General features: G+C 34.3%; 1 protein-coding gene and 1 long non-coding RNA gene across 21 annotated transcripts in view; one reads left to right on the top strand and one right to left on the bottom strand.

The window, feature by feature from the left end:
- The window catches only part of PCDH15 (protocadherin related 15), a 1,825,172-nt gene that overhangs the window by 1,045,366 nt on the left and 762,528 nt on the right, over nucleotides 1–17,278 (top strand). The gene's annotated exons all lie outside the window — the stretch shown is intronic.
- LOC105378311 (uncharacterized) overlaps nucleotides 1–17,278 on the bottom strand; it is a 169,822-nt gene that overhangs the window by 73,475 nt on the left and 79,069 nt on the right. The window contains exon 2 of the long non-coding RNA NR_134503.1: nucleotides 13,902–14,012. This is a non-coding gene — a long non-coding RNA (uncharacterized LOC105378311). The remainder of the gene's footprint in view (nucleotides 1–13,901; nucleotides 14,013–17,278) is intronic.

Below are 17,278 nucleotides of genomic sequence, written 5' to 3'. Positions count from 1 at the left end.
ATTGTATTGTTTAAAAAGAAAATAAGAGCACCTACCGTTTTGTTTGCATATATGTATTTCCTCAAGAAAATACATGATAAAAGAGTATGTGTAATTATGACAAGAAAAATAATGTCTTGATTATAACCTGACCAACATATAGATTCTTCATTTTACATCTGGTGTTACTGAAGCTGTAAATTTTACCAGTCACAGATTCAATGAAATTATCATGCGATCCAATGGAACTTAACAATCTTTATGGAATATTTTGTCATTTGTTTGTTGGCTGTTTGTATGTCTTCTTTTGAGAAGTACCTCTTCATGTCCTTTGCCCACTTTTTAATAGGGTTATTTTTTTCTTGTAAATTTGTTTAAGTTTTTTATAGATTCTGGGTATTAGACCTCTGTCAGATGCAGAATTCACAAATATTTTCTCCCATTCTGCAGGTTATCTATTTACTCTGTTGATCTTTTTAAAATTTTTTTATATTGCTGTGCAAACTCTTTAATTTAAATAGGTCCCAATTGTCAATTTTTGCTTTTGTTGCAATTGATTTTGAGGATTTAGCCATAAATTGTTTTCCTAGCCTAATGTCAAAAATGATGTTGCTTGGGTTTTTTTCTAGGGTTTTTATAGTTTGAAGTATTACATTTAAATCTTTAATCCATCTTGAGTGAATTGAGTGAATTTATTATATGGTGAAAGGTAGGAGTCCAGTTTCATTCTTCTGCATATGGCTAGCCAGTTTTTGAGTACCATATATTGAACATTACCCAGCGTTCACTTTTGTCAACTTTGTCACAGATCGTATGATTATAGGTGTGCAGCTTTCCTTCTGGGTTCTCTTTTCTGTTCCATACGTCTATGTGTCTGTTTTTGTATTAATACCGTCCTATTTTGGATATTGTAGACTTATTGTATAGCTGAAGTCGGATAATATGATGCCTCTGGCTTTTTTCTTTTTGTTTACCTTCCTTTAGCTATTCAGGCTATTTTTTGTTCTATATTTTAGAATCCTATTTTTCTATTTCTGTTAAAAATGGCATTGGTAGTTTTACAGGAATAGCATTGAATCTGTAAATTGCTTTGGGCAGTATGACCATGAGTAATACTCATTCTTACCTTCCATGAGTGTGGAATGAATTTATAATTGTGTGTGTCATCTATTATTTCTTTCAGCAATATTGTGTAGTTATTACAGAGATCTTTCACCTCTTTGTTGGATGTATTCATAGACATTTAATTTTTATTGTGGGTATTGTAAATGTGATTGTGTTCTTGATTTGACTCTCCACTTGAACATTATAGAAATGCTACTGATTTTTGTATGTTGAATTTTTATTCTGAAACTTTACTGAAGTCATTTATCCATTTCAGGAGCCTTTCAGCAGAGTCTTTGAGGTTTCCTTAGTGTAGAAACATATAGTCAGCAAAGAGAAATAGTTTGACTGCTTTTCATATCTGGATGTCTTTTATTACTTTCTCTTCTTTGATTGCTCTAAGATTTCCAGTACTGCATTGAATAGAAGTAGTGAAAGTGAGCATCCTTGCTTTGTTCCAGTTCTCAAGGGATTGATCCCGCTTTTGCCCATTCAGTATGATGTTGGCTATAGGTTTGTCATAGATGACTCTTATTATTTTTAGGTATGTTCCTTTGGTGACTCATTTTTTAAGTATTTTTATCATGAAGAGATGTTAGATTTTATCAAAAGCTTTCTCTGCATCTATGGAGATGATCATAATTACATGGTTTTTGTTTTTAATTTTGTTTATGTGGTGAATCACATTATTGATTTGCACATGTTGAACTACTCTTGCATCCCAGAAATAAAGGCTACTTGATCATGGTATAGCTATTTGATGTGCTGTTGGATCAGGTTTGCTAGTGTTTGGTTGGAGATTTTTGTGTTTATGTTCATCATGGATATTAGCCTGTAGTTTTTCTTTTTTTCATTGTTTATCTGCCAGGTTTTGGTATCAGGGTGATGCTGGCTTCATAGAATGAGTTACAGAGGAGTTCCTCCTTAATTTTTTGTAATAGTGTCAGTAGAATTGGTAGTAGGACTTCTTTGTATTTCTGCTATAATTTGGCTGTGAATTATGTCCACCTGGTCAGGGACATTAGTTGATTCATAGGGTTTTTTATGACTGATTCATTTGTTCAGAGTTGCAATTTCTTTGTGATTCAATTTGGGGAGGTTGTATGTTTTCATGAATGTATCAATTTCCTCTAGATTTTTTAGTTCGTGTGCATCCAGTGTTCATAATATTCTCAGGATCTTTTCGGTTTCCATGTGTTTGGCTGTAATGTCATCCTTGTTTCTGAATGGGCTTATTTGGATCTTCTCTTTTTTGTTTTGTTCATCTAGCTGGAGGTTTATCTCTCTTGTTTATGCTTTCAAAGTCCCAACTTTTGGTCTTGTTGATCTTTTGTATGGATTATTGGGTCTCTACTTCATTCAGTTCTGCTCTGATTTTAGTTATTTCTTTCCTCTCATTAGCTTTAGGTTTAGATTGTTCCTTTTCCTCCGGTTCCCATAGGTGTAATGTTAGATCATTAATTTGAGATCTTTCTAACTTCTTGATGTAGACACTTAGTGCTGTAAATGTTCCTCTTAACATTGTATAGGCTGCATCTCAGAGATTTTGAAATGTTGTGTGTCTTCATTTTAAATAATTTTATAAATTTCCTTAATATCGTTGTTTATCTGAAAGTCCTTCAGGAGCAAGTTGTTTAATTTGCATGTCATTGTGTGGTTTTGGGAGATGTTCTTAGTATTGGTTTCTGGTTTTAATCTACTGTGGTTCAAGAGTATGGTTGATATGATTTTAATTTTTTGTGTTTATTGAGACTTGCTTTATGGCTGAGCATGTGGTCACCCTTAGAGTATGTTCTGTGTGCAGATGAGAGGAATGTATATTCTGTGGTTGATGGGTAGAGTGCTCTGTAACGTCTACTAGGTCCAACTGGTGAAGTGTCAAATTTAAGTCCAGGATTATTTTGTTATTTTGCATTGATGATCTCTCTAATGCTGTCATTGATGTGTTGAGGTCTCCCATTATTGTTTTGTGCCTAAGTCTTTTTATAGGTTTTGAAGTATTTGTTTTATGAATTGGGTGCTCCAATATTGAGTGTGTGCATATTTAAGATAGTTAAGTCTACTTGTTGAGTTGAACCCTTTGTCATTATTTAATGACATTCTTTATCCTTTTTTATTATTATTGGTTTAAATTCTGTCTTATCTAACACAAGTGACTGTTGTTCTTTTTTGTTTTTCATTTGCATGATACATCTTTCTCCAACCCTTTACCTTGAACTATGGGTGTTGTTACATGGGAGTTCTGTCTCTTGAAGACAGCAGATGGATGAGTCTTTGTGTTTTATACAACTTGCAAGTCTGTGCCTTCTAAGTGGGGTGTTTGGACCATGTAAATTCAAGGTTAATATTTATATGTGAGGTTTTGATCCCATTGTGAAATTGCTAGCTGGTTGCTTTGTAGTTTCTATTATATGGTTGCTTTATAGGGTCTGCAGACTATGTATTTAATTGTGTTCTCGTGGTGGCAGAAATTGTCCTTTTTTTCCATGTTTAGGACTCCGCTGAGGTTGCCTTGTAAAGCTGGTCTAGTGATTACAAATTCCCTTGTCAGTTGCTTGTCTAGAAAATACTTTATTTATCCCTTCCTTACAAAGCTAAGTTTGGAGGAATATGAAATTATTAGTTTAAGTTCTTTTAGAGTGTTGAAAATAAGCCCCTAATCCCTTCTGGCTTGCAAGATTTCTACTGAGAAGTCTTCTGCCAGCCTGATTGGGTTCCCTTTGTATATGACTTAAATAATTTATGCCATTCGAACTTTGTGGAAAGGAGGAGCAGATTTAAATAGGACTAAAAAATGGGTGAGATTAAGTTCTTATGGAATGCTTTAATTGTTCATTAGCCTTCAACAGCTAAATGAGCTGCACATTTTTATTATATATTTTTGTCATTCTGACCATAAAACTGACACCAGCTAACTGACTTGGAAGACCTAAACAAAATAGTATCTTATTTTAAAATTACTATGTTTATAATTACTATTTTAAACCATGTAGGTATTTCTTAAACCTTAGGAGATGAGTTCTTACAAAAATCTGCTAAAATCATTCTCTCTAGTGTTTTCCTATAAGGTTAATAGTTCTGAAAGAATTAATTTATATTAAAAATACAAAATATTAAATTTTTCCAAATGTCACAATGTTATAATGAGCATTTTCTTTATCAATCAAGGGTTTGAGACTCATATTTATAAAAATGATGGACAATGCCACATTAATCAGAAGAAAGACTGATTTGTATGCCCAAGATTAGGGGCCCTCAAACTTTGAAAGGCACAAAAACTTCCTGCAGGATTTTTTTAAAGAACTACATGCCAGAATTTACACCAGAAATTTAAAAAGTACTTCAAAAAGGCTAAGGAGTAGGCTAATCAACATTTTAAAACACTACATAGATAATTTTATTTTGCATTAAAACTTAACCATTGTGATAAAGTATTAAACTTTCCAAATGTATATAAATCATCCAAGGCAATGTATGAATCAATGTTATACAATTTAATCCTAATTTACTTTCGATTCATTTAACTTAATTCGACATGGTCTTAAGAAGGACTCATCAGGGATAAGGGGAACTGCCAGATGCCTCTTGGAAGAGGAATATTTATTTATTTATTTATTTATTTATTTATTTATTTATTTATTCATTTATTTAGGCTTAAACAGGAACTGGCCTCAAGGCCAGAAACCAGAGAACTCCTTCACCTACTGTTCTTCTGAGGGAGGACTAGTGCCTCCAGGAGATGGTTTTATAAAGGGACTATTAGTGGGCACACTGGGTAAGGAATCTAACCTGTTTCCTGACTCCTGTAAGGGGCATAACCAGTAAATTAATTATTATAAGAAATTTTTGTAGCAATGCTTTGCCTTGAACTTTTGTTTTTAATTTAATTATTCTGGATTTTCGTGGAGTGATACCATGAAATTAATATGATCAATTAATCTTGACTTATTTTTTTTTCCTTTTTTGTATTCTCACCAAATGTAACCCTGATTTCTTAATGTGAGAACAGTTGGACACTACATTTTTAACTTGCATTTACATTATTCTTGAAAGCATAGTTTAGAGGGAACTGAAGAATATGGGTCAAGAAATTAAAATTTTCAGCCGGGAGCGGTGGCTCACGCCTGTAATCCCAGCACTTTGGGAGGCCGAGGCGGGTGTATTGTAAGGTCAGGAGATCGAGACTATCCTGGCCAATATGGTGAAACCCCGTCTCTACTAAAAATTACAAAAAAAAAAAAAAATTAGCTGGGCGTGGTGGTGCACGCCTATAGTCCCTGCTACTCAGGGGGCTGAGGCAGGAGAATCACTTGAACCCAGTAGGCAGAGGTTGCAGTGAGCCGAGATCGCGTCACTGCACTCCAGCCTGGGGACAGAGTGAGACTGTCTCAAAAAAAAAAAAGAAATTAAAATTTTCTTCAGGTCTTTCAGGTATACATTCTGTGCTCTTCTTTTATCTTCACTACACCTCAATCCCCTAGGTGTTCAGCCATCAATGTAGACATTTTTCTCTATCTTTGCATAAAGACTTCCAGTAAAAAAAAATAACTTGGTGGTCTTTAACAGATTGCGTACTCCTCAAGAGCGGAACTACCAATGTATTTTTTTCACAAATGTCTGAAACACACTGTACATTCAATATTACTTGAGAGAATAGATGCACTCTTTTACTTTGAGTACTAATGGAACAAACATCACTGGACATTTTTGGCAAATAATCTGATGTATTACTACACTGTAACTGTGAGAGTCAGTGACGTGGACCATACTGTGTTAACCAGTGTCCAACGTTTTATCTGATCTGGATACAATTCCCAAGAATTTGCATCTTTTTAGACTGACTGAGTCTGACTGAATTCCTTACATTTAAAAAAATCGCAGGAGAAGTGCTGTCATAACCCAGAGATCCTTTATCACTCTTTTCTTTGATAATTTCATGACATGAATAAAGATAATTTTCAAAAACAAATACCGGATAGAATATATACAAAGATCTTGCCCTGCAGCATACCAGTGTTTGGCTTTATTCATCTTTGTCTTTCATTTACAGCAAGTTGTCTTTAAATGATTAGTATTCTGTGGGAAATATTCTCACTTTTAAAGGAGGATGTCAGCTGATCAGTGATTTTCATTCTGACTTAATATTTATTTCTCCAAGTCTGGTCTTAACTTAAATCGCTAACTACATGAGTAGTCTACATATCCAATGCTAATTTTTATAGAAAACTTATACTTAATAACTGTACAAAAGGGATCATTGCATTGATATGGAACTTTACTTGGATACAACTGGAAAAGCAGCAGTTCTACATCAGCAAAAGATATAGATAGATAGGTAGGTAGATAGATAGATAGATGGATACATACGTACATACATAGATAAATGATAATTTAAATGTAACCAACTCACTTAGAAGAATAGAGCTTGTTTGTTTGTTTGTTTGTTTGTTTAATAACAAGGTAAAAGATATGTATCTAACTTACAAATTGGCCATTGGCCAGGGCGATGAATTGACTATATAGTTCCTGAAGACATGTTGTAGTGACTTTGATGACCATGGGCAAAACTGTAGTTACTCCCTAGCAATTCCCATTAAAATCAATGTTGTGTGGAATTAAATATGGCACAAAAACATGTGTCACTGCTTCAGGGCTAGCCTTCTGTTAAAATTAGTAAGTGTCATGTGACTCTTATGTGGAAGTGTCTGAGAACTAATTTACAACTCTAGTTTTAAGAAAGCAGTTGACTTGTTTATTACTAAATACCTGTTTTGTTCTGATATTTCTTTTCTTTGCTTTTTTCTTTCATATATTGAAAAATTAGGAATTTTCAATATATCTACCTGCACTGTAGAGTAAGCCCAGTAGAACAAGACATTTAAAAAGAAGCTTTAAAAGATTAAGAGAAACACAAGCATCTAGATATCATTCTGATATAGATGGAAATATTTTATTTCCCAAGATATATTGTTAAACCCTGCTACCAACATCATGAGTACAATACAATTTCTTTGTAATCTCATATTCTAAAATTATAACCAAATATTGAAGCCAATTTTTTTCTGTCTTAGTTATTTTTAATAAAATAACTTGGCTAATATTAGGAATTAGTTATAATGAGATTTTATCTGGTTTATTAAATCAAAGAACTGACGAGAAATAATAAAACAGGCCAATTTCAGTTTTTTTTTTTATTATACTTTAAGTTTTAGGGTACATGTGTACATTGTGCAGGTTAGTTACATATGTATACACGTGCCATGCTGGTGCACTGCACCCACTAACTCGTCATCTAGCATTAGGTATATCTCCCAATGCTATCCCTCCCCCCTCCCCCCACCCCACAACAGTCCCCAGAGTGTGATATTCCCTTTCCTGTGTGCATGTGATCTCATTGTTCAATTCCCACCTATGAGTGAGAATATGTGGTGCTTGGTTTTTTGTTCTTGCGATAGTTTACTGAGAATGATGTTTTCCAATATCATCCATGTCCCTACAAAGGACATGAACTCATCATTTTTTATGGCTGCATAGTATTCCATGGTGTATATGTGCCACAGTTTCTTAATCCAGTCTATCATTGTTGGACATTTGGGTTGGTTCCAAGTCTTTGCTATTGTGAATAATGCCGCAATAAACATACGTGTGCATGTGTCTTTATAGCAGCATGATTTATAGTCCTTTGGGTATATACCCAGTAATGGGATGGCTGAGTCAAATGGTATTTCTAGTTCTAGACCCCTGAGGAATCGCCACACTGACTTCCACAATGGTTGAACTAGTTTACAGTCCCACCAACAGTGTAAAAGTGTTCCTATTTCTCCACATCCTCTCCAGCACCTGTAGTTTCCTGACTTTTTAATGATTGCCATTCTAAATGGTGTGAGATGGTATCTCATTGTGGTTTTGATTTGCATTTCTCTGATGGCCAGTGATGATGAGCATTTTTTCACGTGTTTTTTGGCTGCATAAATGTCTTCTTTTGAGAAGTGTCTGTTCATGTCCTAAGCCAAAAGAACAAAGCTGGAGGCATCACACTACCTGACTTCAAACTATAATACAAGGCTACAGTAACCAAAACAGCATGGTACCGGTACCAAAACAGAGATATAGATCAATGGAACAGAACAGAGCCCTCAGAAATAACGCCACATATCTACAACTATCTGATCTTTGACAAACCTGAGAAAAACAAGCAATGGGGAAGGGATTCCCTATTTAATAAATGGTGCTGGGAAAACTGGCTAGCCATATGTAGAAAGCTGAAACTGGATCCCTTCCTTACACCTTATACAAAAATTAATTCAAGATGGATTAAAGACTTAAACGTTAGACCTAAAACCATAAAAACCCTAGAAGAAAACCTAGGCATTACCATTCAGGACATAGGCATGGGCAAGGACTTCATGTCTAAAACACCAAAAGCAATGGCAACAAAAGACAAAATTGACAAATGAGATCTAATTAAACTAAAGAGCTTCTGCAAAGCAAAAGAAACTACCATCAGAGTGAACAGGCAACCTACACAATGGGAGAAAATTTTCACAACCTACTCATCTGACAAAGGGCTAATATCCAGAATCTACAATGAACTCAAACAAATTTTTTTTAAATAAAGGATTATTTACTAAGTAAGGATAAGGTGCAGGGACTGCTACAAAGGATGATGCTGTCAGCACCTGAGGCTAGTGTTCACAGGACGCTGTTTTCCTCCTTTAATCTAGGATTTAAACACAGAGAGGGTAGGGTAAGTCATGCAATTACCAGAATCTGAAGTTGGGGAAAACTATCGATAAAGATAAGGCTACCTAATAGAAGCTGTGACCTAGACATTGACTTATATATTAATGAAGGCTGTAAAATTGTTCGCAGTGTATTCTACATGGCTTTTCAATTTGGAAAATTTCACTACAAGGCAGAGAGTTAAAAATTATTTTTGGGAAAATGCCTAAAGAATCTGAATTCACCTTCAGGGGAAATGAGTCAAAGAAAACTATTCAAAATGCATGCATTATTAGATTTAGAAAATATCAATGCTGGTTTCATTTTCATTAGCACCAAATTGATGCTACCTAATCTTATTTTCCTCCTAAATTTATGTGTATGTGTTGGTAGAGGAGAGATAAAATTTAAAAATACCTTATTGTAAACACAGCCTCAGCACTTTGGTTAAGTGTTTTTTATTAAAATTATGAAAACATCAAGAAAAATAAAGGAGAAACAAGACATATTGTTTTTTACTAAACTAATGCTATGGTATTGTACATTTGGAGTATAATAGGCAATACTTCTCTTGGAAGGAGATTTGGCAAGAATTTGGGTCAAAGACATCCTTTATCCACTCCTGAAATTGATAGAAAAATTATATATACGCATGTATAAATTGATATGTAAACTTTACATATAAAGGAGAAGCAAGGCACAGTATGAGGAAAAAGTAAAGAAATAAAATATTGATATAAAAACATTGTCAACTAGAATATGAGGTCATTTTATAATCTTGGATTTGCAGATGAATAATTAAAACTTGAAAGGGTATGTGATTTCCTCAAGGATACAAAATTAGCACTGGGGCTGAGCTTTTAGTTGCCTCTTTTAGCTTTGCTGGGTCTAATCCCACATACAAGAAACACATAAATTACAATAGAGAAGTGAATTATCCTTTTTCTCTTTTATTTTTCTGGTTACTTGTTTGAACTTATTTTTTCTTCCTTGGGAATTTTCAATGCTTTCTACAAGCAAGATAATAAAACTTATTAATCTATTAACCTAGTGAAAGAACTAGAACTCATTGTAATAATACTTGAAGCAGTGTAATGGATTCCATTTGGAAATGCCTTCTATGATCACTGAAATTATCATCAAAACATATTTAATACATTTTCATAGGCCAGGTGCTTGATCTTCAGGAATTTGCCTCCACTCAAATTTAAAGAGAACTTGACAAGATTAAATATTTGAACAGGGAATGACAATTCTTTCAATCCTCTCTTTTCGTTTTCCTTTCAAATTAGTTCATTTGGAAAGTTCTTAAAGTATCAAATTGAATATCTTCATCTACTTTGTGAAAATTAGGATTCATGCTATTTTTCTGTTTCTAGAAGGCAAACTCAAGGTGGAGTCAGCTCTTTGTGATTCTCCTAGCGTTTGATGTTATAAATAATATCACTCATTATGGCACACCTGCTAGAATGTAAAAGCCACAAATATCAGGAGTTCAGTTAGGTTCTTGAATTGCTTTACCCTAACACATAGCAGGTACTCAATAAGTAATTGTCAGTAAATTAGTTATAAAAGTCAAGTTATTAATTATAAATTAATTATACCATATATGTCATGTAGGCAGGTGTAAAATTTATTATACCTTCCTACATGACAAACACGGTATTTCGTCATCTAATTCTCATAAGAAACCTGAGTAGTATCATTATGCCCAGTTATTGATGAAGAAACAGAGGTTTAGGAGTGCAAATAAATTATCCAAATCCCCAAATATGGTTTTAGAAATGATTTGTGATCAGGTGGACCTCATCTACAATTTTTGTCATTAACCACTGTTCTTCAACTCACACCCTCCATTTTCCAACCTTCTGAGAAGTCCTGCCATCATTCCCTCTAGAAATTTTCACAATTTTTGATGTATAGAATTGGAACATGGGTCCAAAGCCTAAGAGTTTCTGTCTAAGCTAAAAACAAAAGCTTTTTTTAAGCTGCTAAAATTAGATGAAATGTGAAAAAGGTGAAGTATGTGTTTAGTAAAATGATACCTTCTCTCTTGGCACCATGTATACTCCCATGTCCTTGCTCCTAGCTATTCATCACTCCCATTTCATTTCTAAACCTCTGAAGAGCTTATTTTTCAGGGTTTTCATTTTTTTATTTCCATTCCAGCATATGTTTTAAGCTCAATATAGCTCACTAAACCATTGTAATGAGTTAAGTGAGTCCTCATGGGTTAGTACATTGCCTTTTCGGTTGTTATAATTGTGTTCTAATGAGGGTATTGTGAAGGTAATATATTAATTTTCTGCATTGCTTCTAATGATGAGATTTACCAGATACTGAAATACTGAACAGAAAGCCCATTATATTTAAGACATTCATGCTTTCCTCCAGGAAACCATTTCTTTGCAGCTTTTTTTTTTTTTTTTTTTTTTTTTCAAATTTTGTCTATTGTCTCGTACTTCAGCACCTCAGAGCAAGAGGGTGGGACTGGTATCTTCTCATTTGCCAAGATCTCTGCTCTTTTAAGCCCCAGGTACCCCAAAACTTTGTTGTTGCTTGCATCTCCTGTCTTGCCAGTAGTTTCTCCTCGTTCAAATTTCTGGCTCGAGGCCCTCCACTCTACATCAGTTCCTCTTATAATCGTTGTGCATTTGCTGTCTACATGGAAAGTCTGTTTTAGGGCATTGGGCTCTCAGTTCTTTGATCTCATTTCTGGTGGCTTTTGCCTCACTTTGGATACACACAATCCAAGGTCAAACCTAAGAATTCATCATCAGGGCTGCAACTAGAATGATGCAAGTGAGGCCGGGCACAGTGGCTCACACCTGTAATCCCAGCACTTTGGGAGGCGGAGGCAGGTGAATCGTGAGGCCAGGAGCTCAAGACCAGCCTGAGCAACAGGGTGAAACTCCGTCTCTACTAAAAATACAAAAAAAAAAGAAAAAAAAAAATAGCCAGGCGTGGTGGCACATGCCTGCATCCCAGCTACTCAGGAGGCTGAGGCAGGAGAATTGCTTGAATCCTGGAGGCCGAGGTTGCAGTGAGAGGAGATCACGCCACTGCACTCCAGCCTGGCAACAGAGAGAGACTCCATCTCAAAAAAGAAAGGAAAAAAAATGGACACAAGTGAAGCACTTTCTTCGGGTGCAGAATTTAAGGAATGCCAACACAACTTAATAATAGAATAAATATATTCCAATGCAATATTTAAAAAATAGAAATCCAATGTGAAAATCCCACAAGAAATAGTTTATCAAAATCTAAAAGAAAGGATCAGTAAGTTGAAATTAAGTAAAAGTTAATCAAGACATTTGTCAAGAGAAATTGTCAAACATAGCAATTCTCTCAATTAAAAATGAGTAAGCAAAAGAGTACATTTTGAAAATATTATAATATATTCAGGTTTAGGTATAAATGAGATATTTAAACCTAAAAACTAGATTGTATGTTTCAATACTCTACTTTCCAGGTTTTCATTATTTTTTAAAACTATTTTTGTGTTCTGAGAAAAATAACCATTAAAAAGCACAGGAAGTCACGTATATAGCCAGACACTTTCCTTTTGCCTTAGGCTCCAGTATGGTTCCACATGGCACTACCCATGACCACTTGTAGTTGATCCATTCTCCTTATGAATTTCCACCTATCACACAATTACATACTCCCGAGACAGTGAGATAAACGCATTCACACAAACACACACACACACAGACACACACACACACACACCCCTAATTGTATTGGCAAAGAGAGTCTATTCCTCATGAAAATTTGGACCAATGTAGCCCTCCTCTAGAGGTCTGATTTATAGCTTTTAACTTTAGATCTTATCTAAAAACCCTGAGTTGTTAGAACCCAATGTAATCTCTGACTTCAACGTATACTGAGGTCACACCACCTACGAGAAATCTTGCGGCAAGATTTTTGTGTATCTTAAAGTCTTGAGTGAGAAACTAAAAGAATCTTGATGTATAGGACAGACTGTTTCATAGAATAACTCATTCCCTTTTTCAAGCTTCCTTATTTCACTGTTGCCAGCATGTTGTTCATTCTCAGGGAGTAGAAATAATTTCCAGTCAGATATAACATCCAAGACTTTTAAGTTGGTTTGAAAAATCCCCCAAAGCCAACCTTGGAGTAGAACAGTTACTGTATTTCCTCTCTTATGAACTCCATTAAGAATTTACTTTGGCACAATTATCTTATCCCAACACCAACTTCCTTAATACCTGCTTACTGAAATGGAACACTTTAAAATAAATTAACGTAGTAATGACTTTTGTGTACTAATGATTTTAACATTTTGGAAAAAGAAATCACTTATTTTACAAACATCTAAGACATGTTGATTCTAGGGAACTTCTCTGCTGCAAAACTTTCCCATGAAAATTGATAAAGGAACATTTCTATGACCATTAAGCAATAAGCATGATCAAATAAAAAATGAGATTAAAACCCACCGATAATTGAATGGCCTATTGTGCAAGAATATTGCTTTACATATTTTCTTCACAGTATAGTTTTTAGTAAATTCTCTGTTTTCATATATATACTTTAATTTTATAAAAAGTTCAATAGTAATAACAAACTATCCAAGTATATATTGACTCTGTATTAGCATATGTAGTTTTTTAATTTCTTGGGTTTTGCTTTTTTTCTTTTATTTTTTAAATATCAGGATATTGTGCTAAAATTCTATGGTCTCTGAAAACATTATGATTGTTCCAAAATAAATAATTTAAAATTATATTAGAGCAATTTTTATAGATTATTCCTTGAAACTAGGTTTTGAATCTGTTTCCCACATTTCAAAAATAAATCATATATTACAGACTACAAAATGGCAATCAAAAATTTTTTACAAAATGGTTTGTGAGGTTTACTAAGATCTTAATTTTTATTGATGATTGAGTTTACAATTTAGAATGATGATGATGAGTTTAAAAATATTCTCATATTTGCTATTCTATATATTTAAAATAGAAAAAGGTACCATTAGATAATATACATGTAGCATAAACTTGATATACTGTATTATTTCATTTATATGAAGTTCTGTAACAGGTAAACAATAGTGAAATAAATCAGGCTACCTGTATTCCTTTATGGAAAGGGTGGGGTAGATAGTGGTTGGGGAAGAGAAGTATATGTGCTCTTTGTCCTCTCAGTATAGCAGGTTTCACTGGTGTAGCCATTCATCAAAACTGTTGAACAGTAATATTTAAGATCAGTGCAATTCACTGAATGTAAATTATACCACAATAAAATAGAAACAAAGCATACTATTTGTTGAAGACTATATTTTACAGTTTTTTAAAAGTCTACAAAGTCCATTTTTTGAATAAACAAATGAAGATGTAATATATCAGGTAGTGATATGTATTATGTACAAAAAGGGAGGGGATAAGATGTGAGGGAATGCGTGGTGGGCTATTTTAGACAGTGGTGAAGTAGATTTCTTGGAGAAAGTGATGCAGTGCATGAGTAGAGACAGGAACTAAAGGAGGCCTTGTGCCATGTAGGCATCTGGAAGATGAGCCATTTCAAGCAGAAGGAAATTCACAGGCCTTACTAACATGGGGAAGTACTTATCATGTTTAATTACAGCAAAATGACTGAAGCCAAGTGTATGACAGGGAAAAAAAAGAGCTACGTTTTGAAAATATGTTTTTAAATAGAGCACAATAAGCCAAGGTGTGCAAAATTGATCTCCTTACTAAATATAATTTAGTTTCTCAAGTGGGCCCAAGGTTTTATTTTTTTATAAGTATACTTATGTGTTAGATAAGTATACGTAGCAGAAATAATTTTTACAAGATTGAATTACTCAAAGTAGTTTCAGCAGATGCTGGAAGCCTTAGAGGATGAAAGCTTCTTTTTCTGTTGAAGGAAATAGCACAGCAGGAAGGCCTTCTATGATGTAACTCTGTGACTTCTTCACCTTCTGCTGGATGCCACTTGACATCTCAATAAAGTTACTTGGATATCTTGACCTATTTTGATTTTATTATCACTCCCTCTCAAAATATATTTATAGGTAAATTATAAAAATCTCTTTAGGCTAATTAGAAAATTCTGTAGATAGTAAGACAGCAGTTTTAACATAATGCTTGAACATAGAGCATAGAGATCTTGAACTATTCAATTCGATTCAAAAGGTTATGCTATTTCATTTTTTAGCTTTGCATTTGAAAAGCTTAATTATGATTTGATTTTATAACACAATAAAAATACAACTATTTCATAATGGTTTGGAAGAGCTAAAAGCATTGATAAAAAATGTGAAATGATATAATTTAACTATATTTCTTTTTCAAAAATATGATTTCTATTAAAAACAATTATACTTAGGTGACCTTGAGTATGGCAATGACTTTTTGGATACAACATCAAAAGTAGGATTCATTTAAAGATTGATAATCTGACCTTCATTGAAATTAAAAACTTCTTCCCTGAGAAAGACAGTGTCAAATGAATGAGAAGACAAGCTACAAACTGGGAGAAAATACTCACAAAAGACACATCTGATTAAGGACTGCTATGCAAAATATACAAAGATCTGTTAAAAGTTAACAATAAGAAAACAAACCACTCATTTTAAAAATGGGCCAAAAACCGTAACAGTCACCTAACCAAAGAAGATATACAGAGAGCAAATAAGCACATGAAAAGATGTCCCACATCAGATGTTATCAAGGGGATATAAATTTAAATAATAATGAGATAACACTACACACCTATTAGAATGACCAAAATTCTAAACCCTGATGACACCAAATGCTGTTGAACATGTGGAGCAAGAAGAAGTCCCATCCATTGCTGGGGACTGCAAAATGACACAGTGCCTTTGGAAGACAATCTGAAAGTTTCTTACAAAACTAAAGATGCTTTTACTATAAAATCCAGCGGTCATTCTCCTTGGTATTTACCCAAAGAAGCTGAAAACATCCATCTGCACATAGATGTTTACAGCATCTTTATTCACAATTTTCAAAACTTGGGAGGGAACAACCAAGAGGGTCTACAGTAAGTGAATGGATAAATAAACTGTGGTACCTTCAGACAATGGACTATTATTCAGTGCTAAAAGTAAGTGTACTATCAAGCCTTGAAAAGACATGAACAAACTGTAAATTCAAAATACCAAATGGAAAAAGGCAATATGACAAGGCTGTATACGCTATGATTTCACCTATTTGACATTCTGTGAAAGGCAGAACTATAGAGAAAGTGAAAACACCAGTGATTGTCAGGGGGTTGTGGTCAGGGAAAAATGAATCGGCAGAGAACAGAGGATTTTTTGGTCAGTGAAAATAAGTCTGTATGATACTATAATGATAGAAACATCTCATTATACATTTAGTCAAAGCCACAGAGTGTAAAACACAAAGAATAAACCCTAATATAAACTAGTATTTGAGTGATAATGATGTGTAAATGAAGTTTCATCAACTGTAACAAGTGTACCACGTTGGTGGGGGATGCTGATAATACAAGTTATGCATGGGTGGGGACAGGAGTATATGGAAAATATCTATACCTTCCTCCCATTTTTTTTGTAAACCTAAAGCTTCTCTGTGAAGAAAATTCTTCAAATATGACAAAAAATTATACCACAAATTGAATAGTCCATATTCAAATCTTCACAATCCATTTTATGTATGTATGTATGTATTTATTTATTGAGATGAAATTTCACTCTTGTTGCCCAGGCTGGAGTGAAATGGCACGATCTCAGCTCGCTGCAAACTCCGCTTCCCAGTTTCAAACGATTCTACTGCCTCAGCCTCCCAAGTAGCTGGGATTACAGGCATGCATCACCACACCTGGCTAATTTTGTACTTTTAGTAGAGATGGGGTTTCTCCAGGTTGGTCAGGCTGGTCTCAAACTCCCAACCTCAAGTGATCCACCTGCCTTGGCCTCCCAAAGTGCTGGGATTACAGGCATGAGCCACCGCGCCTGGCCTTCCATTTTATTTAAGAAGAAGAAATCTCATAGTTATTTCTACTGCCTGAACATATTGAGATATAATCTGCATAAAAGAAAACACGAGAAATTAAGTTTTTAATTTCATGAGTTTTCACAATTGCAAACAGCTAGGTAAATACCACCCCAAACAAGGAATAAAATATTTTCATAATTCCAGAAAGTAACAGCATGCTCTTTCCAGACAATTTTCTCTCCCATTGTTGACATCATCATCATCCTCATTGTCTTCATCATTCAGAAATACCCTAGGCAGCCCTGTTGATATCTAGTTTCTACTTAAAAAGTTTCAACCTATAAATACAGTGCAATAGTTAGAAACAGACTGGCTATAATTGCTGTCTAAAGAGACTGGCTGGCTGTTAAGGTCAGGCCTCAGTGGGTAGAAATACTTGTCTGGGGAAATCAAGGACCAGAGGTTGATTCACAGATCAAGAAATTTATATTTGTCTCCATAGCTGGATGTGATTGGAGTCAGGAGAA

Source organism: Homo sapiens, chromosome 10, assembly GCF_000001405.40.
Source record: "Homo sapiens chromosome 10, GRCh38.p14 Primary Assembly".
Taxonomy (NCBI): domain Eukaryota; kingdom Metazoa; phylum Chordata; class Mammalia; order Primates; family Hominidae; genus Homo; species Homo sapiens.
This window is presented reverse-complemented; position numbering and strand designations above follow the sequence as displayed.